The sequence below is a fragment of the Homo sapiens genome, chromosome 17 (assembly GCF_000001405.40).
Source record: "Homo sapiens chromosome 17, GRCh38.p14 Primary Assembly".
In the NCBI taxonomy this organism is placed as follows: Eukaryota; Metazoa; Chordata; class Mammalia; order Primates; family Hominidae; genus Homo; species Homo sapiens.
This window is the reverse complement of record NC_000017.11, coordinates 52,001,000-52,028,846: the sequence shown is the minus strand read 5'-3', so window position 1 is coordinate 52,028,846 and position 27,847 is coordinate 52,001,000. Positions and strand designations below refer to the sequence as shown.

The 27,847-nt window shown below is 35.8% G+C and overlaps 1 protein-coding gene across 3 annotated transcripts in view, besides 1 other annotated feature; it reads left to right on the top strand.

Moving 5' to 3' along the window:
- Positions 1 to 27,847, top strand: part of CA10 (carbonic anhydrase 10) — a 529,711-nt gene that overhangs the window by 131,177 nt on the left and 370,687 nt on the right. The gene's annotated exons all lie outside the window — the stretch shown is intronic.
- Positions 275 to 1,474: an enhancer, noted in NCBI's record as "CDK7 strongly-dependent group 2 enhancer chr17:50104733-50105932 (GRCh37/hg19 assembly coordinates)". NCBI's record gives its function as "activates an origin of replication core promoter dependent on BRD2, BRD4, P300/CBP, MED14 and CDK7 cofactors, with strong dependence on CDK7, by STARR-seq in HCT116 cells {active_cell/tissue: HCT116}" and the evidence as "EXISTENCE:reporter gene assay evidence [ECO:0000049][PMID:35650434]".

Genomic DNA, 27,847 nt, shown 5'->3' with positions numbered 1-27,847 from the left:
AGTCCTATCGTCACAGCAGAAGCTTTGTGGGCACTCTAAGAGTCAACAATTTTGTGGGTTTGCATTAGAGAAGTGGACAGTATGTCTAAATCAAGATGATGGCCCCACTGCTTTTGACCAGCACTGGCCCTTTGCAATACACTGGCTCATAGCTGAGTATGGCTCCCTTCTTATTTTGTCCACACCCAGGTATTATTTTTAGTTGCTTTTCCAGAGCAACGGCCTCCAATATTTGCAAGTGATGCAACTGGCTGGTAGAATCTTCTTTTGGGAGGGCTCCACAGCCAAAATCTCAAATGGTTGTCTAGAAACTTCAGTCGTACCTCACTTCATGCCAGATCAGTACCTTTAAAAGGTTTTCAGTAAATCATTATTTTACAATTCCAATTTCACTGAAATGCCACAAAGCATGAAGTGTTTTGAAGTTTTTTAATAAGGAAAACTAGAATAGTTTTGTGAAAGATAGCTATATGTATAGATCCTTGATTGGTATACTTTTTCTATTAATTGGATTTGCATAGAATAGGTTTGTTTAAAAATGAGAACACACTTGTAGTCAGTTTCACTATTGGGAATACTGATTTCATATCTATGTCTCCTTGCTAAAAAATTGAGAGGTGTAAGAATTTGGCCAAATGTAACTCTGCAGCCTCTGCATTTTGTTAATAACATCACAGTACCTCATGGGGTTTTTAACACCATCATTAAGAGGAGCTCATTTGGTTCTCACCTTTATTATCTCATTTATCTTACTATCCCTGGGAGGCATGGACTCAGATATTGCTGCTTGTATTTACAGAGAGGAAACTGAGAGGTCAGCCAATATAAAGTGATGGTCAGCAAGATGGCTTTAGAGAGAACTCACCTCAGCCAAAAGCAGTCCAGCCTACCAGTGTTGAAAGTAGGATCCCAGAAGCTCTTGACACAAGGGTTCAAGGGAAGGGAGATTCTGTCAAATGACTGTCTCTGTCTCCTACTTGTTTCTCTCTACCACTTATTAGATACACTGTGTCACTGTGGACAAATTACTCAACTGTGACTCACAGCTTTCTCATCTGAAAAATGCAAAGCATTGTATCTGCCTCACTTCTGGAAAGAGTTTCTTTCCTAAGAAAAATTAGCTCTGATTCTGAGTAGGGGTGAGGGGAAAAAAGTGAATGAGGGTCTGCAAAAGGGAATGAGGTCTCCTGAACATGGCTTCTGTAAGGAGAGTTGCATAGTCACTGCTTCAGCCTCAGGGCTTCCTTCTTTCCTACACTATATAGATTTTTAAAATGTAATTTCTATGTGCATGTCGTCTTTCCCCAATTTTAGATCCTAGACTCCCAGAGTAACCAGCTGGGGCAGACTTCAGATAATTATAGTTCAAACTCCTCTTATTATAGATGAGAAAACTGAGAACTGATGAGGGGATTCCAAGAAGAAAGCCAGTCTGTTGCATTTCCTTTCCTCTAGGAGAGGGGTCTCCAACACCCCCACCCTCTACCCCCATACCAGTCAGAGGCCTGTTAGGAACTGGGCCGCACAGCAGGAAGTGAGCAGCAACAGGTGAGTGAGGGAAGCTTCATCTGCATTTACAGCCACTCCCCATGACTCACATTACCACCTGAGCTCTGGCTCTTCTTGATCAGTAGCTGCATTAGATTCTCACAGGAGGTCAAACCCTATTGTGAACTGCACATGTGAGGGATCTAGGTTGCATGCTCCTTATGATAATCTAATGCCTGATGACCTGTCACTATCTCCCATCGCCCCTAGATGGGACCATCTAGTTCCAGGAAAACAAACTCAGGACTCCCATTGATTCTACATTATGGTGAGGTTGTATAATTATTTAAATATTACAATGTAATAATAGAAATCAAGCACACAATAAATGTGATGCACTTGAATCATCCTGAAACCTTTGCCCCAACCCCCACCCCAGGTCCACAGAAATATTGTCTTCCACAAAACTGGTTCCTCGTGCCAGAAATGTTGATGATATGGTTTGGCTGTGTCCCCGCCCAAATCTCCTATTGAATTGTAGTTCCCATAATCCCCATATGTTGTGGGAAGGAGCCCATGAGAGGTAATTGAATCATAGGGGTCGTTACCCCCATGCTGCTGTTCTCATAATAGTGAGCTCTCTTGAAATCTCAGGGTTTTATAAAGGGCTTTTCCCCCTCTTGTTTGGCACTTCTCCTTGTTGCTACCACATGAAGAAGGATCTGTTTGCTTCCCCTTCTGCCATGATTGTTAGTTTTCTGAGGCCTCCCCAGCCATGCTAAACTATGACTCAATGAAACCTCTTTCCTTTATAAATTACCCAGTCCTGGGTATGTCTTTGTTAGCAGCATGAGAACAGACCAATACAGTTGGGAACCGCTGCTCTAGGACGTTTTCTCCCATCATCTGCCTCTGTCTTTGAAAACTCTAGGTCTCTGGGAGGATTAAACTAGAAAAAAAGGGACATAGTAGATGCTATTGAGTAGAGAACCATGGGAGTTGTATGAGAGAGGAAAGTGAGATTCCTCAAGTCTGGAAAGACAGTGGTGGTTCAGAGGAGACTTTGAGGCTTACGTAATTTTACTCTAGTGCACATTTATTGCACAACTCACTTTGATGAAGAATCCTCAGCTGCATGGGGCCCCTAACCCATGTCACTCTGTTCCACCTCAGTGGAAGACCCTTTGGCTTTCTTAGACAATTTCCTCTGTCTTCACTGGGACAAGTTTACTTATGAATGGGAGCCCATATTTGCTAGAATCTTAACCTCAGCCAGATTAGGGGAAAACTGTTATTCTTCTCTCAATTTAAAAGATATTTTCCTTCTGTGTGTACATGTATGTGTACACACAGATATATATATTTATATGTAATATACACATTATACATATATACTATGTGTATATATATATTTCTATGTTTGTATATTTCTTTGTACATAAAAAAGCATAGAAATACATCCTGGACAAGTTTATTTCCTCAGCCTTTCCCATATGGGTTCCATCTCTTCCCTGTCACCATCAATTCTGTCTTTATCTACAGCTTGAAAAGTAATCATCAAATCCATTTGTATCAACAAAGTTGCCTATCACTTGCTGAAAAGGCTGGTATTTTATGCATGTTTTACTTCTCTACAATCAAAAATATCTTAAGTTAAATGAAGACAGAAAAGGCATTCATGAATAGAAATGGCAGTGTCCTGATTTTATCATTTTCTATCTAGGTGCTTTACCCATTTGGTTTAAGTGGCACTTAGATTTTTTTTTAATTATTCCCTTCTAAAAATGCAGTGAACTTGAAGCAAAAAATCCATCTAGTCCTATGTGAATGAACCTTGGGAAAATTGCTTTCTATTATCAATATTTTCCAGCAAGAGCCACAATGAGGAATGTGTCTCTTCTGAAGTATGTGCTGTTTCTCCTTGGAGTCCTTGCTTATTAATCATCCTGAAACTCTGAGCTATAAAAACTAGTGTGAAGTCCTTCTTCAAGCTCTATGACAATAAGTTAGCTTTATTCTCTCCTTGACATTACTTGTATGAGGGAAAGTGGAGTAGAACCCAGGTGGAGGCATGTCCTATGTCACAGAGACCCTGTTTAGGGCACTGGTGCCCTGATATAGAACTCAGCCAGTTCAATCAGATAGAGGCTCAGAAGCATGACCACTTTACAGTAGAAAACATATTTAAAAGCAGTAAATATCAGACTTCCCTTTTTACCTTGACCTTAATATACAGTATGTATGTATATTTAAGACATTTTTTTCCATGGACCAGGGGTTGGGAGGGAAGGTTTTGGGATGGTTCAAGCATACATACTTACTGTATATTAAGGTCAAGGTAAAAGGGGAAGTCTAGCATTCTGTCATGTCATAGCTGACTTTTTGGGGGAGTGTATATATACATATACTATATATATGATATCCTCTTTCTTCATGGTAATGATAATCATTTTTACTTTATGACCATCATCACAATCATCAATATCTTAAACACAATAATTATTATCACTATCACCATTATCATAGCTGACTTATTAAGCAATTACCCTGAATAAGACACTATTCTAAGCACTTTGCATATTTATTATTTACAGTCATTACCAGCCTGTAATATAATTATTCATGATTATCATTTTAAGAAATCTGAAGCTTAGACACAAAAAGTTATCTGCTTTTAGAGGGAGGCCTGGGTATCATCTGTGGATGAGGAAGTAGCCTGTGAGGGCCCCAAAGTGCTTCTGGATATCTTCCAATACACAATATGCCACGCTGCTACTTCCTTCACCTGGCTCCCTTCCTCTGCTTCCCTTTGGCTTGGGATTTCTGGCAGTAGCTTTACCCCCTCCCACCCCCCACTGACTCCAGCTTGTGATTTGGCAGCCCCTCAAGCATGCACGGGTTTATAGTGAGGTCACATTGCCCTAGTACTCTCACTTAGGGCAACTGGTGACTAGGACTGCAGATCTTAATGTTACTTAATAGGCTCAACATTATTATCTTTTTACATAACTTAAATTTGGCTCACATTTCACATATGTGACTATGTCTAAGTAAAAATAAGTATATTATGTGTTCAGTCTATGGCTAGGATTATGACAGTATAAGAAGTATCACCTCAAACGGGGATGTTCTCCTTCTGGCTATGGAGGATTAGCTTAGATCAGATTGATCCTTTTGCAGAGAACCAGATAATGTGCATAAAATGATTTAAAAATATCCCAGAAGGGATTTTAGAGTAACTGAGGTTATGAAGCCCTAAGCAGCCAAGAGCCCAGATAGAAGGGAAGTGCAGAATAAGGTAGGAGTCATGTTCGCTGAGATAATGGTTGAGAATTTTCTAAAACTGATAAACACTAACCCACAGAAACAATAAACTTGACAAACCCCAACAAGAATAAAATAAAATAAAACTACACATAGGTAAAACATAGTAAAACTGTTAAAAGATAAAAGTAAAAATTTTAAATATAGACAGAAGAAAAAAGAGACATTTAACCTTTAAAGAAAAAGACATAAAATGCAGACTTCATTCAACACAAATTATGTCTGTTGCCCACTTTTTAATGGGGTCATTTTTTTTGCTTGTTGGATTGTTTAAGTTCTGTCTACATTCTGGATAGTAGGCCTTTGTTGCATGCATACTTTGCAAGTTTTTTTTTTTGCCATTCTGTAAGCTGTCTGTTTACTTTGTTGACAGTTTCTTTTGCTGTGCAGAAACTCATTAGTTGAATCACATCCCATTTGTAAATGTTGGAGGTTTTTTTGTTGCAATTGTTCTTGAGGACTTAGTCAAAATTCTTTGCTAAGGCCATGTCCATTAGGGTATTTCTTAGGTTTTCTTCTAGGATTTTTATAGTTTTAGGTCTTACATTTAAATCTTTAATCCATCTTGAGTTTATTTTTGTTTACAGTGAAAGATAGAGGTTTAGTTTCATTCTGCATATGCACAGCCAGTTATCCCAGCACCATTTATTGAATAGAAAGTCCTTTCCTCATTGCTTATTTTTGTTGACTTTGTCAAAGATCAGTTGGTTGGTTGATTGGTTGTAGGGATATGGGTTTATTTCTGGGCTCTCTATTTTGTTCCATTGGTGTATGAGCCTGTTTTTATACTGGTACCATTGCTGTTTTGGTTACTGTAGCCTTGTTATATAGTTTGAAGTTGGGTAATGTGATGAAGTCTGACTTTTATTTTTGCTTAGGATCGTTTAGCCATTTGGGCTCTTTTCAAGTTCCATATGAATTTTAGGATTGATATTTCCAATTCTGTGAAAAAAGACATTGGCAGTTTGCAAGGAATAACATCAAATCTGTAGATTGCTTTGGGCAGTATATTCATTTTAATGATATTGATTCTTCCAATATATGAGCATGGAATGTTTCTCCATTTGTTTGTGTCATCTTTGATTTCTTTCAGCAGTGTTTGGTAGTTCTCCTTGCAGAAAATTTTCACCCCCTTGGCTAGATGTATTCCTAGGTATTTTTTTGTTGTTGTTGCTATTGTAAATAGGATTTTGTTCTTAATTTGGCTCTCAGGTTGAATATTATCAGTGTATAGAAATAGTACTGATTTTTGTACTTTTATTTTGTATCTTGAAACTTTATTGAAGTTGTTTATCAGTTTTAGGAGCCTTTAAATGGAGTCTTTAGGGTTGTCTAGATATAAAATCATGTCATCAGCAAAGAAAGATAATTTGACTTTTTTTCCTATTTGGATGCATTTTATTTCTTTCTCTTGCCTGATTTGTCTGGCTAGGAGTTCTAGTACTCAGTAGAATAGGAGTGGTTAGAATGGCATCCTTGTCTTGTTCTAGTTATTAAGGAGAATAGGGGAATTGTTCTAGCTTTCACCCACTCATTATGGTGTTGGCTGTGGGTTTGTCACAGATGGTGCCAATAATTTTGAGATACATTCCTTCAATGCCTACTTTGTTGAGGGTTTTTATCATGAAGGGATGTTGGATTTTACTGAAATCTTTCTGTGTCTATCAAGATGATCATATGATTTATGTTTTTAATTCTGTTCATGTCGTGAATCACATTTACTGATTTATGGATGTTGAACCAACCTTGCATCCCAGGAATAACACCTGCTTGATTGTGGTGAATTAACACTTTGATGTGATGCTGGATTTCAGCTTGCTAGTATTTGTTGAGGATTTTCATATCTGTGTTCTTCAGGGATAGTAGTTTGTAGTTTTCTTTTTTTATCATGTCTTTGCTGGGCTTTAATGTTGAGCTGATGCTGATTTCATCAAATGAATTAGGGAGGAGTCTCTCCTCCTTGATTTTCACTTGATCTTAGCCAAAGGGCTGAGAAGCAGTCCTCCTCCTTTATTTTCTAGAATAGTTTCAGTAAGGATTGGTACCAGCTCTTCTTCATATGTCTGGTAGAATTTGGCTGTGAATCCACCTGGTCCTGGGCCTTTTTTGGTTGGTAGTCTTTTAAAATGACTGATTCAATTCTGGCACATGTTATTGTTCTGTTCAGGGTTTCTATTTCTTCCTGATTGAATATTTGAAGGTTGTGCATTCCTGGGAATTTATCCATTTTCTCTAGATTTTCTGTTTGTGTGCATAGAGGTGTTCATAATAATCTCTGAGTAACTTTTGTGTTTCTGTGGGATTGGTTGTAATGTCATCTTTGTTGTTTCTGATAGTGCTTATTTGAATCTTCTCCCTTTTTTCCTTTGTTAATCTAGCTAGTAGTCTATTGATCTTTTTTATCCTTACAAAAAATAAACTTTGGTTTTCCTGTATAGATCTTTATTTTGTTCAGTTCTGAAAAGAAGACATACAACATTACTAATTATCAGAGAAATGCAAATCAAAGTTACAATGAGATATCATCTCAAGTCAGAATGGCTATTAAAAAAAGAAAAATAACAGATATTGGCAAGGCTGCAGAGATAAGAGAATGCTTATACACTGTTGGTGGGAATATAAATTAGTTCAACTACTGTGGAAAGCAGTTTGAAGATTTCTCAAAGGACTAAAGATGGAACTACTATTCAACCAAGCAATCCCATTGCTGGGTATATCTCCAAAGGAAAATAAATCATTTTTCCCAAAAAGAAACCTATACTCAGATGTTCATTGGAGTGGTATTCAAAATGGCAAAGACATGGAATCAACCTCAATGCCCATGATTGGTGTAGAATTTCAAAATTTCTGTGATTCGCTTTAATTCTTAAAAAATGCCATTCCATTTATTCTGCCTTCCATAACTTTTATTCAACTTTTATTTTAGATTCAGGGGGTACATGAGTAGGTTTGTTATATGGAATCAACCTCGATACCCATCAATGGTAGACTGGATAAATAAAATGTGGTACATACAAACCATGTAAAACTCTACACCAATAAAAAAAGAACAAAATCCTGTCTTTTGCAGCAACAATGAGTGATGCTGGAGGCCATTATACTAAGCAAACTAACACAAAAGCAGAAACCCAAATACTACATGTACACATACATGGTAGCTAAACATTAGGTACACATGGGCATAAAGATGGCAACAATAGAACTAGGGACACTGGAGGGGGTAAAGAAGGATGGGGCAAGGGTTGAAAAACTATTTATTGGGTACTATGTTTACTACCTGGGTGATGGAATCAATCATGCCCCAAACATCAGCATCATGCAATATATCCATGTAACAAACCTACTTATGTACCCCCTGAATCTAAAATAGAAGTTGAATAAAAGTTATGGAAGGCAGAATAAATGGAGTGACATTTTTTAAGAATTAAAGCAAATTACAGCAATTTTGAAATTCTATACCAAGTAAAATTATCCTTTCAGTGTAAAGACAAAATAAAGACATTTTTAGACAAAAAATGACGGATTTGCAGAAAACAAAATACAAGTGAATTCTTTAGGCAAAGAAAAATGATCCTAGATTGAAGCAAGAAAATTCAGAAAGTAATGAGGAAAAAGTAGACATATAAATTAATATTGACCCTATAAAGTGATATTAAAATATGATGCTACTAATATTGTTTTGAGTTTAAAATTTATGCAGAATTAAAATACCACCCCCCCAAAACAATGATATAAAATATGGAGAGGGTATCATTGGATTTGAAGCTTCTAAGAAGCTTGCATTGTTCAGGAAATGCCAAAAATATCTGAAAATATATCATCCAAATTGTTTAATATGAGGTAATGTAGATTTAAGGCAAAAAATATTACCAGCGGTAAACAGGATATTTTATAATGATAAAAGGGTCAATCCACTAAAAAGATATAACAGTTCTAAATTTGTATTCACCTTAAATCATAGACTTAATTTCAGTAAAGCAAAAATTGACAAAACTAAGTGAAGAATAGAGCAATCTATAATTATAGTAGGAGACTGTAACAATTCTCAACAACTGATATAACAAACTTTTTTTAATCCAGAAAACACAAAGCAGATTGTATATATACATATACATATATATATGTATATATATCTCTTCACAGTGATATTACACTGTAAGTAAATAACAGGAATGTAACTAGGAAATTCCCAAATGTATTCCCAAATGTTGGAAAATTAGGCAACGTATTTCTAAATAACCCATGGATCAAAGAAGCAATTACATTGGAAATTACAAAATATTTCTTGCATATGCCTACTTTGATCTGGGGCTTCTGGGATGCTGGTAATGTTCTATTTTTTAGTGTAGGACCTAGATTTTTGGTGGCAAACACATAGATGTATTTACTTTGTAGAAATGAATCAGATTATATACTTATCATCTGTGTACTTTTCTGCATGTGTTGTATACATCAATTTAAACATAGTAAAAAAAATTATAAAGTGTATGCTTGGATTGTTTCATGTAAGAAAATCTCCAAATACCTTCTATCTGCTGAAAACTGCTTGTGGGATTGACAAATTAAAACCAAACCAAAATAACCCTTCTCTCCCAGTATTCGGAGAGGGTGAATCAGTCAAAGATAACATTTTTGGTGGAAGAGACAATACAGAGAAACATTAACATGTTTACAATGTACAAATTAATGTAAATGGCTACACTATATTTCATTAAAATATATAATTTCACAACTAACGTTTTGTTCATTAAAGAGAATAATGGCAATGAGACTCTTTACCCTAATTTTAAACCACTAAAATGTCTGAATCTTGGTGTTTGTAAAAAGAACCTAGAATTATGTGTGTCTGTTTTGTGCTGCTATAAAGGAACACCTGGAATTTTGTAATTTATAAAGAAAAGAGGTTTATTTGTCTCATAGCTCTGCTGGGTGTACAGGAAGCATGGCATTAGAATCTCCTTGTGGTGATGGCCCCCAGAAGCTTCCAATCATGGTGGAAGGAAAGTGGGAGCAAGCATGTCACATGGTGAGAGAGCAAGCAAGAGATAGAGGAAGGAGTGTCGGTCTCTTTTAAACAACCAGATATCATGTGAACTCATAGAGTGAGAACTCACTCATTATCATGGGGACAGCACCAAGCCATTCATGAGGGATCTACCCCCGTGACCCAAACACCTCCCACTAGGTCCACCTGTAATACTGGAAGTCACATTTGAACATGAGATTTGGAAATGGCAAAATATCCATACCATATTACTTCTTCCCTGGTCCTCCAAATTTCATGTTCATCTCACATTCCAAAATACAATCATCCTTTCCCAATAGTCCTCCAAAATCTTAACTCATTCCAGCATCACTCAAAAGTCTAAAGTCTCATCTGACACTCAAGGCAAGCTTCTTCTACCTACGAGATTGTCAAATCAAAAATAAGTTATTTATTTCCTAGATATAATGGTGGTACAGGCATTGAGTAAACATTTCTATTTCAAAAGGGATAAATTGGCCAAAAGAGAGGAGTAACAAGCCCCATGCAAGTCTGAAACACAGCAGAGCAGACATTAAATCTTAAATCTCCACCATAATCTCCTTTGGCTCTGCTTCTTGCATCCTGGGAACATGGGTATGAGGGATGGCCTCCTAAGACTTTGGGCTGGCCTGTCCCTATGGCTTTGCAGGGTACAGCCCCCACGGCTGCTCTCACAGGTTGGAGTCTATTGCCTGTGGCTTTTTCAGACTGAGGGCATAAGCTGTCAGTGGCTCTACCATTATTTGGTCTGAAGGGCAGCATGACCCTTCCTACAGCTCCACTAGGCAGTGTGCTGGTGGGGACTTTGTATGGGGGCTCCAACCCCACACTTCCCCTCTATACTGCCCTAGCAAAGGCTCTTTCTGAGGGCTCTTCCTCTGAAGCAGGCTTCTGTCTGAGTACCCAGGCTTTCCCATACATCCTCTGAAATCTGGGTGGAAGCTGCCAAGCCTCCTTCACTCTTGGGTTCTGAGGGCCTAAAGGCTTTGCACTATGTGGAAGCTGAAAAGGCTTACAACTTGTGCTATCTGAAGCATCTGGCTGGAGTTGTACCTGGGATGCCTTGAGCCGCAGCCAGGAAGTGGGGAGCAATGCCCCAGTTCTGGCTCATGAAACCATTCTTCCTTTCCAAGCCTCTGGGCCTGTGGTGGGAGACCTGCCTCAGAAACTTGTGAAATGCCTTTGAGGTCTTTATCCCGTTGTCTTGGCTACGAGTGCATGACTACCATTTAGTCATGTGAATGTCTCTAGCAAGTGGTTGCTCCACAGCCTGCTTGGTCTATTCTCCTGAAAATGGTCTTTCCTTCTCTACTATGTGGCCAGGCTGTAAATTTTCCAGATTTTTACACCCTGCAGTCCTTTTTATTGTAAATTCAAACTTTAAGTTATGCCTTTGCATGTGCGTCTAATTAACTGTAGGCTGTTAGAAGCAGCCATGCCACATCTTCAATACTACTGCTTAGAAATTTTCTTCTACCAGATACCCTAAGTCATCCCTCTTAAGTTCAAACTTCCACGGATCCCTAGGACATGGACACAGTGCAGCTAAGTTATTTGCTAGCACACAACATGGGTAAACTTTATTCCAGATCCCAATAACTTCCTCATTTTCATATGAGACTTAATTAGCCTGGCCTTCACTGCCAATGTTTCTATCAGCATTTTGGTCACAACCACTTAACAAGTCTCTAGGAATTTCCAAACTTTCCTTCATCTTTCTTCCTGCCTTCCTCTGAGACATTCAAACTCTTCCAACATTTGTCAGTTACCAAGTCCCAAAGCTGCTTCCACATTTTCAGGTATCTTTATAGCAGTGCTCCATACCACAGTATGAATTTTCTGTGGTAGTCTGCTTTGCATGGCTATAAAGGAATATTTGAAATTGGGTAATTTATAAAGAAAAGAGGTTTATTTTGCTCACAGTTCTGCGGAATGTACAGAAAGCATCTCACCAGCATCTGCTTCTAGCGAGAGCCTCAAGAATCTTCCAATCATGTTGGAAGACAAAGGAGAAGCTGGTCAAATGGTGAGAAAGGGAGCAAGAGAGCAAGGAAGAAAGTGCCAGGTTATTTTATTTTAATTAATTTATTTATTTTGAGATGGAGCCTCATTCTATCACCTAGGCTGGAGGGCAGTGGCACAGTATCGGCTCACTGCAACCTCCACCTACTGGTTTCAAGCAAGTCTCCCACCTCAGCCTCCTGAGTAGCTGGGATTACAGGCATGTGCCACCACACTTGGATAATTTTTGTATTTTTAGTAGAGACAGGGTTTCACTATGTTAGCCAGGCTAGTCTTGAACCTCTGACCTAAAGTGATCTATCCACCTCAGCCTCTCAAAGTTCTGAGATTACAAGTTTGAGCCACCACATCTGGCCCCAGGGTCTTTTAAACAGTCAGGTCTCACATGCACTCAGAGTGAGAACTCACTCATTACCTTGAGGACAGTACCAAGACATTTATGAGGATCCACCCCCATGACTCAAACACCTCCCACTAGACCCCAACATTGGAGGTCACATTTCAACATGAGATTTGGAGGAGGAGAAACATCCAAAGCAAATCAAATTAGCTTTTTGCAATCAATGCAATGAATACATTTACCGAGTGGTGATTGAAATTCCCAGCAATCTGCAATGCACTGGAAATATAGAGTTAATGAAATGGTGGGTGTGGTCCTTCCTTAAAAAGTTAATCTCTCTCATGTAGTTGTAAGGCTTTTCTTTGTTTCTTCTAATTTCTTAGGACAAATTGTGCAATTAAGAACAGAAAGATTGCCTGTATTATGGGAAAGGATGGCTACAAAGCACTCTGGATGCTTTGCATGGAGATGCTCTGAGCTGCTTTGAATCCTGGTGTCTGAAAGCCCCAGCCTGTCAAAGCTCTTAGATCAAGCTATGGCAGCAAACTCCAATGCCTCTCCCAAAGGATTCTCCTTTTCCATCCATCCCACCCTTCTCCAATGTCTACTCCAAGGTGAGCAGAAGTAGACTCCAATGTCTACCTCTACTCACCTGGAACTCTGATGTCTACTTCCACTCACCTGGAAACTACCATCTCTGAGGAGCTCCCATTCTAAAAATGATCCTCCCCACATCCAACGTGGTTGACCTGAAAGAATATCTGATTTGTTTAAATAAAAAGCAGCATTCCCAATTAGATCCTATGCCAACAACATGTAGCCTAGGACTTGTCCACAGAAATTCTTAACAGTGGATGTTCTTAGGTAAGGTTTCAGACCTTAGGCTTCAGAAATTATATGCAAATTTTGCAAATATGTGCTCATTTCTTGAAGAAATGGTGAAATTGAGACTTTAAGCTTCCTTCAGACTCTCAAGGAAGTCTCTGACACAAAGAACTTTATGTACCACAGGCTTAGAAGAAATAGCTGGAGACCTGTGGCTTGTAAATCCTTACTTCTCATCAGTCACTTGGCCTCTGGCAATTGCCTTCCTCCTTAAGCCTTAGTTTTCAATTTGGATAACTTCCTCTCAAGTTCATTCAAGATCTAGCTATTAACTTTCTTAGGATTTGTTCATATTTTCAGTGTTCTCCTCATCATGCTCCTTGTTGACAACTCACATTTTATAAATTGTATCAGTCATTGAAAATATACTATTGGGGACAAATTCCATTTGCTTTTAAGGAGCTAAAAGGCAATTGAAGAGGAAACTAACAACATCCATGCAACTTACATCAAGTCATCAGCTTCATGACCCAACCCCGGCATGATGTCAGTTCCAAAGACAAATGGCAGCAACAAAAAATAATCAAGTATTGTCTCAGAGGTTTTGTTCTTAGAAAAAGTGTCATTATACGTCTATATACTTCTTCATTCCAGTTTGTTGTTTGTTTTTTGTGTTCTGTGTTTTCTTGGTCACTAGAAGGGATCACTACACTGACGTTAGTACATCACCTTTTACTCTTGGTACATACATGTGTTCATAATTATTGCACATACTATATGTGTCCTTTGCAAACTGCTTTTTTAATTATATTTTGAAATATATTCATGTTCATATATGTAGGTATAGTTTATTTATTTGATCTTAAGGATTATATTGTATAAATGTACCACAATTATTCATCCATTTTCTTCTTTGACATATTTGCCCAATTAATTGCAAGATTTTGCTGATGTGAATAGATATCTTTGTTTTTCAAATACGCATTTCTCTGAATCACAAGTGAAAATGAGCATCTAGTTACTTGCTTGGGTATCTTCTACTGTGAGTTTTTAGTTTATATTATTTGCCTATTTTTTTATCAAAGTGACAGAGTTCTGGATACTAATATTATATCACTTATGTGCCCAGCAAATATCTTCTCCCAGTCTCAGGCATTTAACTTTGCTTATACAGACGATTTAAAATGTTAATATGTCACATTTATCTACTTAACTAACTTTTCCATGATAGCTGATAGATTTTGTACCTTATTTCCTTAATCCTCCTCTGTGCTAAGATTATAAAAATATTATACTTCTCTCTAAATTTTATAACTTTTCTTTTCACATTTTGGTATTTTATCTGTATGAAATTCTTGAATTGTATTAATATGAAGTAGGGATCCAATTATTTCCCACAGCCAGTTGAATTACCAAAATTTGTTAAATAGCCTATTCTTAAGTCCATATTAATTTTAATGCCACGTTCTTCGTATTCCAACTTTGCACATAATGCATGTGATTCTAGGCTTTCCCTTCTGCCACTGGTCTAGTTGTCTATAACTTATACTTGTATGGGTCCTGATGTCAGCTGGCATGATTAGTCATCATTCCTTATATTTCTACACTTGTCTTGGTGCTTTCCTCTTTCATAAGAATTTATAATTTTTCATTCATAAATTCATATGAATTTATAATTTTTCATTATAAGGTTATTTTTAAATGGTACCTGATATTATTTTTAATATGGAAGTTTAATTCCAATTTTCATCCTGATTACTGGTATATTTGGTCATACTTCCACCACTTTCTATCATATTTTTGTTTGTCATGATTTATCTTTGCTTCCTCTAGTTTCCTAGAGTTCTATTTATATTCACTTAATAAATAGTTAAACTTGTACTATGCTTACACGAATTAACAGAATCAAAATTGGATCAGTGTAGCACAGTAAGCGCTCCATGAATGGGGAAACTATGGCTATGGAGGGTCAACTATACTACGTTATTTTATATAAAGGACTTGAGCAACTACAGATTTTGGTATCAGAGTGGGGTTCTGAAACCAGTCCCCTGTGGATAATGTGGGATGACTGTAATCTACTTCTGAATATGTAAGTAACTCAGACATCACAAAAACAAAACAGGAAGTCAATTAAATACCATCATCGAAGACATAAGGGAAGACTAACAAGCCACAAGTATATACTCTAACAAGTTGTTTCTTGGATGGTAATCTATTTCTTTCTATGTTCCATATCTCTTCATCTTTTAAATTTTTCTATATGTTTCTGTGTGTTGAATTCTATGTGGCTTCTTCACATCTGTTTTCCAATTCCCTAATGCCCTCTTTAGCTAATCATAGCTGTTGTTTAATACACCCACTGCATTTTAATTTTATTCTTATAATTTTCATTTTTATCAGTCTATTCTGGTTTCTTTTTAAATCTGATTTTTCTTTTTCCCATAGGAGGTCTTGTTCTTTCATTATGATTGTGATTTCTATCTCTTCTGTTACATTTTTATTATAAATATGTTGTCTTTTTCAAGAGTATATATTATTTTTGATTCTTACAGCATACATTATCAATTTAATTTTAGCTTCTGACTACTCCTACATTGATTTATTTCCTCCTGTTGTTTCTAATTTTGGTTAGGAATCTGTTATTCAATGGATATCTCTTTTTCTGTGGAAGTTCCTTGTGAGGATGGTTGTAAAAGTATTTCTATAGAGCAATTTTGTTTTTGCTTTTCCTGGTTCCCAGAGAATGGTTGCTTTATCAATTTAGGATTTTCTTATACTCATTGCAGGATTTAAGTTAAAATTTGTTACATGACATTGATGTCTATATGTACACCTTGGCCAGCAAGTAAGCTACATTGGTATTTTCATTTTTAGATAGGAATAGTTTTCCTAACTCCCTATCTACAGCAGAGGAAGCCCTCTCAGGGTCAAGCCTGAGCAGAAAAAAAATGCTAACAGCCACCTAACTTTAAAATAGGACATTTTTTTTTTTATAATTAACACATTTCCATTTCCTTTTTTATGTTCAAACTTATCATTCTCCAGTTTTCTACTTTTACAAAGAGAATTATTTGATATTGAAAAATTGTAGACAATTAATTAGAAAATGTTAAATTTGGCATCACAAAATTACCCATGTAGGTGGGGCAGAATCTTCTGTGTGTATGATTCCATTCTTTATATTAATAATCACTGAACGTACTGAACATAGTTTAACTTTGAACCATTTACATTTCTTGGAGTATTTCCTTATGTATAAAGTAAGCATATTGCAATAAAAGATATCTAAGGGCCCTTTCACCTCTAAAATTCTATAAACTTTGACCTTTGCATATAATAGATATTCCATAACCATGTGACCTAGACTCAGCTTCTACCATTTCAAATAATAGGAGACAGTGTGTTACCTCAAGTCCTCATAGATGCATGTATGTGATTCTGTGTTTTCTCACAGATCCATATTCATTCTTTGATTCTCCTACCTATCAGCTGTGTGGCCATTGTTAAGTGACTCAGTGTCTCCAAATTTCAGTTTCTTACCTGAAAATAAGGTTAATAATGCTGAACTAAGGTTGTTGTAAGAATTAGAGATTTTGAAAGAATCAGCAAAAGTTAACATCTTTTTCCCCTCAGTTTCTTCATCTGTAATATCAAGATAATCATTACAAAATCATTGTAAAGATTATGAGACATTGTAGTAAATTGCTTAGTATTAATATTAAACCTAATAAATGGCAAGCTACCATAACCAGCTCAGTTCATGGCATATTGGGGTCCCAGGTGGAAGGTCTCCTTGGCTAATCCCTCCCTTATTCATCCCAGATTTGCACTCACCTTCACTGCTGTTTGGCTTCACAGACTATTCTGCCATTTTTTCTGTGGATTGCATTAAAACACAACTGTGTTCACCACCATACCCTTGAGACTAGTTACCTGGGAAAAACAATTCTCATTTCTGAGTTTTTACTTATTTCTTCTATGATGCTGAAGTCATTTCTCCATTAGCATGTATTTCTGGTCCCTGTCTTCTTTATGACTCTCTCTTCCCCACCAGTTCATAGACCCTTGTTTGTATCATGATCTCCTGTAGTTCTTCCTGGGTCATATCACTTATCATACATGCCGTCCTTGTCTTGCATGTGTATTTCACATACATTTTCATTATAAAGTAGGAAATAGCTCTCCCATGTTACAGAGCATTGGTATATAGTAAAGAAAAAAATCCAAATGTTCTTTTGGCAAAGTAGATTTTTTTTCTCATTTGCTTTAATAAAGCATCTCATGTTTTATATATTGGTTAATATAATTGAACAAAATTATTTGGCTATAACTTCTTCTTAAGATGGACTATTCCACTTTATTATGATTATTTAGAAAAGATTAATGCCCAAACCATTGAGAATGTAATTTTTTAAATTGCCCTAATTATTTGCACCAGAGCATACTGTCATGATCATGACCCTCAGGACAAACTTCATTTACCTGATCGCAGCAGAAACTCAAGTTCTAATTTGCAAGTCTGATCATAGGGCTATGAAGCCCAGGATTGCTGACTATGGAAAATTTTCATCATCATCCTCATAATAATAAATGATTATGATAAAGGATCATAAATTATAACATAAATGATAGGCTCCAAATATGGTATTAGGAGCATATGTACATACATTTCAGTATTCTTAACAAACATTCTTCAAATCCACAATACAATTCCCAGTTTTTAGGCATAGAAAGTAAGGCTCAGAAGGGCTAAGTAACTTCCCCAGGTTGGTAATTAGCTGACTCAGGACAGGATCCCGTCTCTGTGCCCCCTCCCCCGCCCCCGCCAACTGCTTGTGTGTTTGTAGCATTCCACTTTGCACACTTCTTATCATCATTTTCTACAGTAAATTTGCTGAAACTTGACTTCATTCCCTGCTCATTGAATTTAAACCTTAATGATACATCTACTGATAGAATGGATTTAAGTTTTTGATTGGATTACATCAGCTTTTCTGAGTCTAACTGAAACAGCACTAACATGCATTTTTCTAATATAAATAATATTAATAAGTTCATGTTGAACAAAATATAAAAAATCCCAGGCATTCTTTAAGTTATTTAGTGGTGATTTCTGGGATTTTGGTGTACCCATCACCCAAGTAGTGTAAACTGTACCCAATGTGCAGTCTTTTATCCCTCACCATCCCCCACATTTTCCCCCAGTCCCCAAAGTCCAATGTATCTTCTATGCCTTTGTGTCCTCATAGGTTAGTTCTCACAAATGAGTGAGAACATACTATGTTTGGTTTTCCTTTCCTAGGTTACTCCCCTTAGATTGATAATCTCCACTTCCATCCAGGTTGCTGTGAATGCCATTATTTAATTCCTTTTTATGGCTGAGTAGTATTCCATGGTGTATGTGTATGTACATACACATACACACACACAGCACATTTTCTTTATCCACTCATTGATTGATGGGCATTTGGGTTAGTTCCATATTTTTGCAATTGCAAATTGTGCTGCTGTAAACATGTGTGCACAAGTATCTTTTTTCTATAATAACTCTTTTCCTCTAGGTAGATACCGAGAAGTGGGATTGATGGATTAAACAGTAGATCTACTTTTAGTTCTTTAAGTAATCGCCACACTGTTTTCCATAGTGGTTGTACAAGTTTACATTCCCACCAACGGTGTAAAAGTGTTCCCTTTTCACAGCATCCATGCCAACATCTATTATTTTTTAATTTTTTTATTATGGCCATTCTAGCAGGAGTGGGGTGGTATTGCATTGTGGTTTTGATTTGTATTTCCCTGATATTTAGTGATGTGGAGCATTTTTCCATATGCTTCTTGGCCATTTATATATCTGATTTTGAGAATAGTCTATTCATGTCCTTAGCCCACTTTTTGATAGGATTGCTTTATTTTTTCTTGCTGATTTGAGTTCTTTTTAGATTTTGGATACTCGTCCTTTGTTGGATATATAGATTGTGAAGATTTTCTCCCACTCTGTGGGTTGTCTATTAACTCTGCTGATTTATTTCTTTTGCTGTGCAGAAGCTTTTTAGTTTAATTAAGTCCCATCTGTTTATCTTTGTTTTTGTTGAATTTGCTCATTCTGATTTAAAATGTGAGTTTTGAATCATAATTTTTATCACTCTAAAATTAAACATCTCAGAATTATAAATTTAGAAGAGAAATTATCCAACAAATTATAATTGACCTTTGCTTTAGAGGTATTCTAAAAGCCTGGTAATTTTATGTAGCCTTGCTACAAAGCCAACGTTGAGGGGTTGATTCTTGTTAAAAGGAAGTAAGGCAACATTTCATGCCCATAGGACATCTGCTCTCCAGGTGACACATCAGCACCATAGTTCAGCAATCTTCTTACTGGCCTGGTGAAAATAATGATTAATTAAAAGGCAAACAAGTGAAAAATTCAAACATGATCATTTCCTTTATGTTATAAAGTATTTATTCATCAAATATTTATAAATTGTTTTGCTTTGTATAGAACAAAAATTAGATGGATCCTGGTCTTAGAGGGTTTACAGTCCTGTAAAAAAGAAAATCTATGTCCATAAATCACTGTCTTATGGTATAGAAAACAATAAGTGGCATAAAAGAGACACGTTAAAAAAAAACTTTCAAAATTGAATTATTTCCAGTTGTCACTATAAAGAAAAGCTTTACAATAGAGGGAGGCTGACTCTTGAAGGAGTGAGATTTAGACTTGTAGTGTCTTTAAGGGCTATGTTCATATCTATAGAGATGAGATAGACTAAGATAAATGGCAAAAGGAAGCACTTGTAACTATTAGAGAAATAACTCTTCAGTACTCTGTGCCAGGCAATGTACTAGGCACCAAAGTCAAAAAGATAAGAAGCACTTCCTATCCTCTAGAAGCTCATGGTCTAGTATTTAGGTGAGGAACTGAGGGAAAGGTGAAACCTTAAACAAAGAAAGGCAGAAAAATGCCAAGCCCTCAAGAGCAGCATCAGCTCTTCTGTTTGGAAAGAGGGAAAGGTATTCAAAAGCAGGATCAAAAAATAAGCTTGGATAGGAAGCCCAATACATTCATGTTTCAGTTCCATTTTTTTAATTGAGCAAGTTCAAAGAACTTTATGTATCTAAGATCTACATGACACTTGAGACTGAGGTTATCTTTCAAAGTTTCCTAAGTAAAAGAAAGATACTGGAGGATCTATAACTTACAATATGTAAGTTGTCAAGATGACATTGCCCTTCTTCTGATTCAAACACATAGCAGTAATAGAAAAAAACAAAAAATTGAAATTAGAAAAGCTCTAGCAGAGTACTCCATTAAATTAACATACTTAACCAATATGTAAATTATTTAGTTTTCCTATGCTGTTCCCTCCAAAAGACAATTATACATTAAATACTTTACGCACCCCATTCCCTAGTGATTGTTGTCTAATACGTTATCTTCTCAATAAAAATAGTTCTTATGTTTTTATCTAGGCATGTATTCTGAACCATCTCACTTAAAATTTACTTTCAGTTTCCTCTATGATCTTTATTCTATTTGGAGTATAGTCAAATCTTAATTGTTGATTTTATCGACTTTCTTTGTAATAGTTTTCCTCAAATGGTTTAGAACTTTGTTTGCAAAGGAATCCTCTGGAAAGAAGCAATAATGAAATAGAAAACAAAGAAGAGATGATCAATACAAGTAAAACTGGCCCTTTGAAAAATAAAACTGATTGTATTAAAGAATAAATTAGCAAGACTGATTAAGAAAAAAGAGAGACTGAATGAGTAATGAAAAAATAATGCAACTGTAGATACAGTGGAAAGATAAAACTATGGTACTATTTTGATCAGTCATTTTATTACACCAAATATTTAAAATATTAAGAGATGGATAGTTTTCTTAATAAATTAAATTATTAAAGTTGCTTGAAAACTTAGTTTGAAACCAAAACGAACCAGTAGCTATTATAAAATGTCTTTCTTAGAAAACTATAGGTATAAATGGATTTATGAGTAAGTGATGGTACATATATAGTCCAAACTGTTTCAGAGAATAGAAAAATAAAGAATGCTACCCAATTCATTTTATGAGGCTAATATAGTCTTAACATCAAGAGGAGATAAAAACAGAAGAGGAAAAAAAAGTATAAGCTATTCTCATGTGTGATCATATATACAAAATTGTAAATAAAACATCAGCAAATTAAATCCAACAGAGTATTATAAATACATTGAACTATTTTTTAAGTCTTTTTCTTCCAGGAATATGACCATAGGCCACTATCATAAAAATTCATAAAAATCTCTCAGTATAATTCTGTACATTGATTAAAGAAAACAATCACACAATCACTTCAATAGAAGTAGGAAAAAATATTTCTAAATTTTAGCATTATTCATAATAAAAATTCTTATCGACCTAAGGATCAAATACTCTTAATCTATTGAAGAGTATCCACCAACATTCTAGCAAACACCTTACTTATGGATGAAATGTAAGAAATTTTTCCATTAAAGACAGGTATTTAGTAAGATATAAGATATTCAAGGCTACTGCTAGCACTTAAATTTGTTACTGGAAAGAAAAGAGAAGAATATAAACTATAGGTTGATTGGAAAAGAAGAAAAAAAATTGTCACTATTTGAATATGATATGATTATATAGATATTTGAAAATGAATTTCCAGCCAAACTGTTAGAAGGGTGTTTAAAAGGTTTATTGCACATCAGATCAATATAAAAACTTGAGAGTGTTTTTACATATCAGCCATAACAAAATAGAGAATATAATAGGAAAAAAATTTCCATTGATAATAATGACTACAAGGAACCTCTAACTATGTACATAATATGTGTAAAATGGCTTTAACAACAATCAAAAAATTATAACGTGCAATTCAAGGATCTAAAAGATTGGATGAAAGAGAAAGAATCACAATGTGCACGACTGGCTAAAGTTAATATAATGAAGACATTAATCTCAGATTAATCAACTTAGTAATATTCTAATTAAAATTCCAAGAGGGTCCAAGAATCACAATGACATTTTTTAGAAGATGTATTTATACAGGAATATATTATTGAACTTGAATGAGCTAGATTTTTCCTTATCAACACTGAAAAATCTCAACCAATCTTGTGTGAAAAAGCAAATTGCAGCATAAATACTATATGATTACATTTATGTAAAACTTTTTAAAACTCAAATGCTATGTGTTATGTGGAGATGCAGATAGGTGATAAAAATATACAAACAACAATCAGAAAGGATATAAAACAGCTTTGGGACCTTGATTACCTCTAGGGAAAGAGGGAAAAAAATGCTTAAAAGTGATGAAAATTGATCTTCCACTACATTTGCCTTTTTCTCACAAAGAGAGATTTGTTGAAAGAATGGTAAGTGTTAACATTTGCTAAATCTGAGTAGAAGCACATGGCATTAGCATTTTAATATTCCAAATTTTATGAAATTTTTATTGTGATATTTTATAATTTTAGCCCCATATTTAGCCCCAATTTTATTTAAATATTTTATAATTTTCTACCCCATTTTCTTTTTTCAGTATAGCTAGTTGGGAACAAAGGGACAGAATAGAGTAATCTGCCCATCATGAGTTCATACTTCCTTCTGTAGGAACTGCTAGTGTAATACTGGAGCAGTCAATAGAAATAATATCAGGTGCTACTTCCTTGTACAGAGACAGAGACCAAAATCTGTGGTCTCTGTTCATCAGCGATTTTATAGTATGTGCCTTCAGCATCATCTCTCTTTGGCCATCTCATTACCTTACCAATTACATGGGATAAAAGTTGCAATATGGCATCACCCCTAAGAACAAAGGACGCTCTCTGTGTGATGGAAATTTTTATACATAAAGGCAGTCTTTTTTTCATCTTTTTGCTTTGAACCTTTAAGTCAGCTCACCCTCACCTTTCTTACCTCTTCAAGTGTCACTCTTCTCCTTCCATGACCAGATGTTGAAAGCAAATCTGGTTTATGGCCCACCATTCTCCAGCCGCTGGTTGTTTATCATATGACTAATTATTATAAGTCAATAGAGCCAAGAGATCAATACATTTTAGAGAAAGTTCTCTGAAACAGAATTTGTGAGGATGTAAAAGGATCTTTTTGAAAAGTTTATCATTACATCAACATAGCAGACAAAACCCCAATAGCTCCCCTGGACCATGAAAGTCTGGTAAAGAATTGTCAATCCATGAAATGGCTTTGACAGCTGTTCTCCAAACCAGTTAAAGGGAGCTCTTCCAGGCAGTATGCAACACTCATGGTGTTTCCTATTGACAAAGTACCCTAAAGAGTCATATTGTGTGATGAGTATAATACCACTGAGGCATAGACTGGAAACACACAGTGTGATCTGGCCAATCTCTTTGGCCAGGGAGTAGCCCAGGTGGACTGCCCACCTTCTTCATCTCAATAAGCTTTGGAAGTCATCCATTATTCATTGTTTAGAGATCAATAATTAATGGAGATTAAAAGTTTCTTTAAAGATTCCAGTAACTTCACAATAATGTCACAACAGTAATGTGGAAGCATAATGGGGTGTTGTGTTTATTTGGGAAGCAGAATTTATTTTTATAGATTTTTAAATGATTTTATTAATGTATTTGTAGAATCATTAAGGTCCTAAAGGGTTCACTGAATTATTATTTTGTATTTTCCTACATTTTATGGGAGAAATGATGTGCTATAGAGGTATTCACAACTTGAGATTTTTGGAGATCCAGGATCTTGGTTATATACTTCAGAATAACTTGCTAATATACGATTGAAGTTCAAAAGCACTTTAGTACTTGAGGGTCTTATTTCTTAAGTCTTTGTTTTACTTTATTTTAGACAAGTTTATGACTTGAGGGGGAAAAAGAGTCTTGTTCTTGACCTAGCTTTGGATGTCTGAGAACAATTAGCAAATTTCTTCAGAGGCTAAAAATAATTGGGGATTTTCATAATTTTACAATAAAAATAGAGAGTTTTGCATTAGAGGATGGGATTGGTCTGTTATCTTATTTTCATTTTGCGTTTTCACTATCTCATTCATATTTTTGAGGCATTATCTGAACTTCTCCATGCCTCACTTTCTCTAAAAGATTGAAAAAGTACATATTAATTATTAAAATACTTAGAGCATTTTGTAGAAATGATGTGAAAATAAGGTAAGATAATGTCATGTGTACTAATAATGCAAAAGTCATACATTTATTCCAGATCTCCAGTGTTACATCATTTTATTAATTGTCTTGTTAGTGTCTAAGGCGTAGAATGGCTGTACTAAAAATCTCTACTGTGAACTTCTAAGAAAATACATACATGTGTCTTTTCCACAGTGTTGGTTATAAATTACAGTTTTGGTGGAATGAGCAAGATGTTATACTTATTTTAGAAATATGCAGCTGACTTTCTTATTAACTGGGTAATTTTGTTGTTCTGATTCCTAAATAGGTAGGTACTTCTCTCTGTGTCTTTTGGTTTGGGTTCCAGTTAAGAAATTATGAAGTGAGAAACTTGTTTCATTAACTTTTCATATGCATGTGTGTATATAAAATGCATTGATTGGGACTGACTGCTAAAGGGTAACATAGGGAAATTATTACTTATGGGGATTTATTCTGGTGCTGAAAACAAGATATTAAATTATAGTATAAGAAGAAGCATAATTCAATGAATTTTTATGATCTGTAAAGATGGGCAAATTGCAGTGCAAATGATAAATGGGTTTTCAGCATCAACATCTACAAATCAATCATCATAAGTAGATATTTTGATGTATTAATGTAACGAGGAAGCAGCCCTTTGGGATGTGCATGTTATTTTTGGTGGTTGTCCTCATAAGAGACAGATACTTATTATGTGTTGTGTTAAGGGTTTTTTTTTTTTTGTTTTAGTTTTTACTATAAGTATCTATTCTGAATATTTTTAGGAAATGTTTTAATCCCTTAGAAATAAGCTTTTTTGCACATAGAAGTGGAAATAGATACTAATTTGATTAGCTCAGTATCAAAACAAAGTAAAAGCTGATAAAAGTCAACAGGACAGGTGGGAGGTCTCTTTCTCTGCCTTTTCCTTAAAGTCATTGCAACTAAGTGTATCCATTTCCCTTTTGTGTGAACTTTTGTTTCCTACCTGAGTTGCAAGTTCCATATCAAATCCCTCTGTCTGAAGCTTCTCCTACTCCAGTATCATTGGATAAATAATAAAATAATGAACATTCCTGTTTGTATTTCTTTGATCTACTATTCAAAATTGTAGCCTAAAAATTATTAAAAAGGTAAACAAAGCTTTCATCTACTCATTCTTTTAACAGATACTAACTTACCACCAGTAGTCAGGGACCATGCTGGAGCCCGGGGAAACAGTGAGCACAGCCCCTGCCTTCAAAGAATATATGGTAAAATAAAAGAAATACATATGCAATCTGGCTCTTACAATGTACTGTGGTATTTGCTTGTAGGGAGATGATAAGGTATTATGGGAACCCACAGGACAGGCATCTTTATAAACTGGAGGGCATCCGTGGGGAGCCATGATGGTTGTCACAGTGAAAAAGGGGTGAGGGAAGACTTCCAGGAGGAGCTGATGCTCAAGTTTGACTTGAAAAATGTAAATAACAGGTCAGGTTATCTGTGGCAAGGGGAGCAACATGTACAGTGGTCCACAGGTTAATGGGACTATATTCAGGGATCAATAAGGAGATCAATCTGTTGACAGGCCCATCGTATAACCTGAGGAAAAAAGTGGAAGCAGCTTGATCTCTAGAAAGAACAAGAGACTTGGAGACAGCAAACCTCATTCCTGTGCAAACCTTTGTCTCCTTATTTCTGAAGGTAGGATAATCCTACATAGAGAAGGAAGGATTGTATAATGGAAAGAGGTCAAGGTTATAGCCAGACATAGGGCTCAAATTCCAACTTTAGAGCTTGCTAATTGTGTGGGATCTCGACTAAACTTCTCAGTCACAACTTTTTCATATGTTAAAAGACAACAATAACACCTAAATACATGGTAATAAGCAAACTGGCTTCTTGCGATGCTTATATGAGGGAATGTGGAAATGTCTACGGAGTCCCTGAATGTCCATCAGAGGAGCTTAATGGATATACTTCCTTTCCCTTTTTGAAACTTTTCTAATTTCTGAAATGGAGAACTTGATTCCTTCTCCCTACATGAATTTTAAGAATAAAATAAAATTATTCATTGAAAATAATCCATAAATAAGTGTAGATATAGTGCATGCTCATTATTTATTTTTGTGCAGGCATCCATTTAAAGAACCCCCTGAAGTCTCACCATTGGTTTAGACATTGGACTTTTTTTCTTTGACTCCATAATTATCCATCTTGCCTCCTCTACATTCTCTGTTCGATGACCCCAGGCTGGTCACTTCTTTGCAGTAGCACCTCCTGTATGTAGTCCCAGAGTCACCTGCACTTTTTATGGCCCTGTATGAATTTGTAGGCTTGGCTCACATGCCCTCTGGCCTCCCCTCTCTCCCTGATACAGATCACTGCTTGTCTTTCTCACACACCTTACCTCTGCAGTGGGCCAACCAAGAAACATTTCCAGGAGATTCATGTTTTTTATTTTTTTTTTCATTTATAACTTTTCTTTTTTTTAAATTATACTTTAAGTTATAGGGTACATGTGCACAATGTACAGGTTTGTTACATATGTATACATGTGCCATTAATTAAAGTTTCATGGGAGTCTTGGAAGCACTTGTTTGCTTTAATATGTGTGGGCTCTTTACTCTCTTCCTAACATATTTTTGTTAAAACCAGGATAAATCTCAGAGTGGCTATCAGGTTATCTGTCTTAAGTGCTTCTTGCCCCTCCTTATTTTTGACCTAGAAAGGAGGCTAGTAGCCTTGAACCTCAGGGTAACTGTTGCCTTCAGGGTCAGCCAAATGGAAGGCTGCCCTGAGCTCTCCAGCACAATGACTTCGCTGTAACATTATTATGTGTATTTTTCATGAAGATAAATGCTGTCTCCCAAACACCCATTTTTATCATAGAAAGATGTGAATGGTAGAAACTTAAAATCTGCTTCAGGCAGGATAGTTTTGAGAAGATACATATCTAACCCTAATAAAGTTGGGCTGCCTCATGGCCTATTTCTATACAGTGCAGCACCCTAAAGAAAACACAAATCCACTTTCAAAAATTTATAATAATCTTTACTAGAATGTCTCCTAAAAATGGTAAGAGATTACGTGGCATGACAGGGAGCAATATCCCCTATTAAAAAAAAAACTTCCCTATAGTTACTTATACTTTAATTGCTTACAGAAAGGTGCAACAGCAACGGCAGAGAATATCTACTATCTCATGTAGTCTTATTCACTTCACTGAAAAACACCAAACACAGTTTTCTTCTACTTCTTTCATTCACTCCTCTATCTTCCAAGATCTCTAAGTTGAGCTCTGCATTTTTAGACTAAATCAATATAGGCTTTCTGTCTCTTTTAGTTCTGCATCACAAGGTTGAAAAAACAGCATGGATAGTCTATGGTTTGGCAAACTTTTTCTATAAAAGACCAGATAGTGAAGATTTTAGGGTTTGCAAGCCACACAGGCCTCTGTTGCATATTCTGCTTTGTTTTTTACAATCCTTTGAAAATTTAAAAACATTCTTACCTCATAGGCCACACAGAAACAGGCCTCAGGCTGGATTTGACCCATGGACCATAGTGAACTAATCCCTGGTTAAGCAATAAAGGCACCAGGTCTTCGTAGACTAAGCCCTAGTGAGACAATTAACAACAAAAAGAGTGCTCAGTACATGTCAGGCATGGTATCAGCAGCTTACTTATCTTAGCTT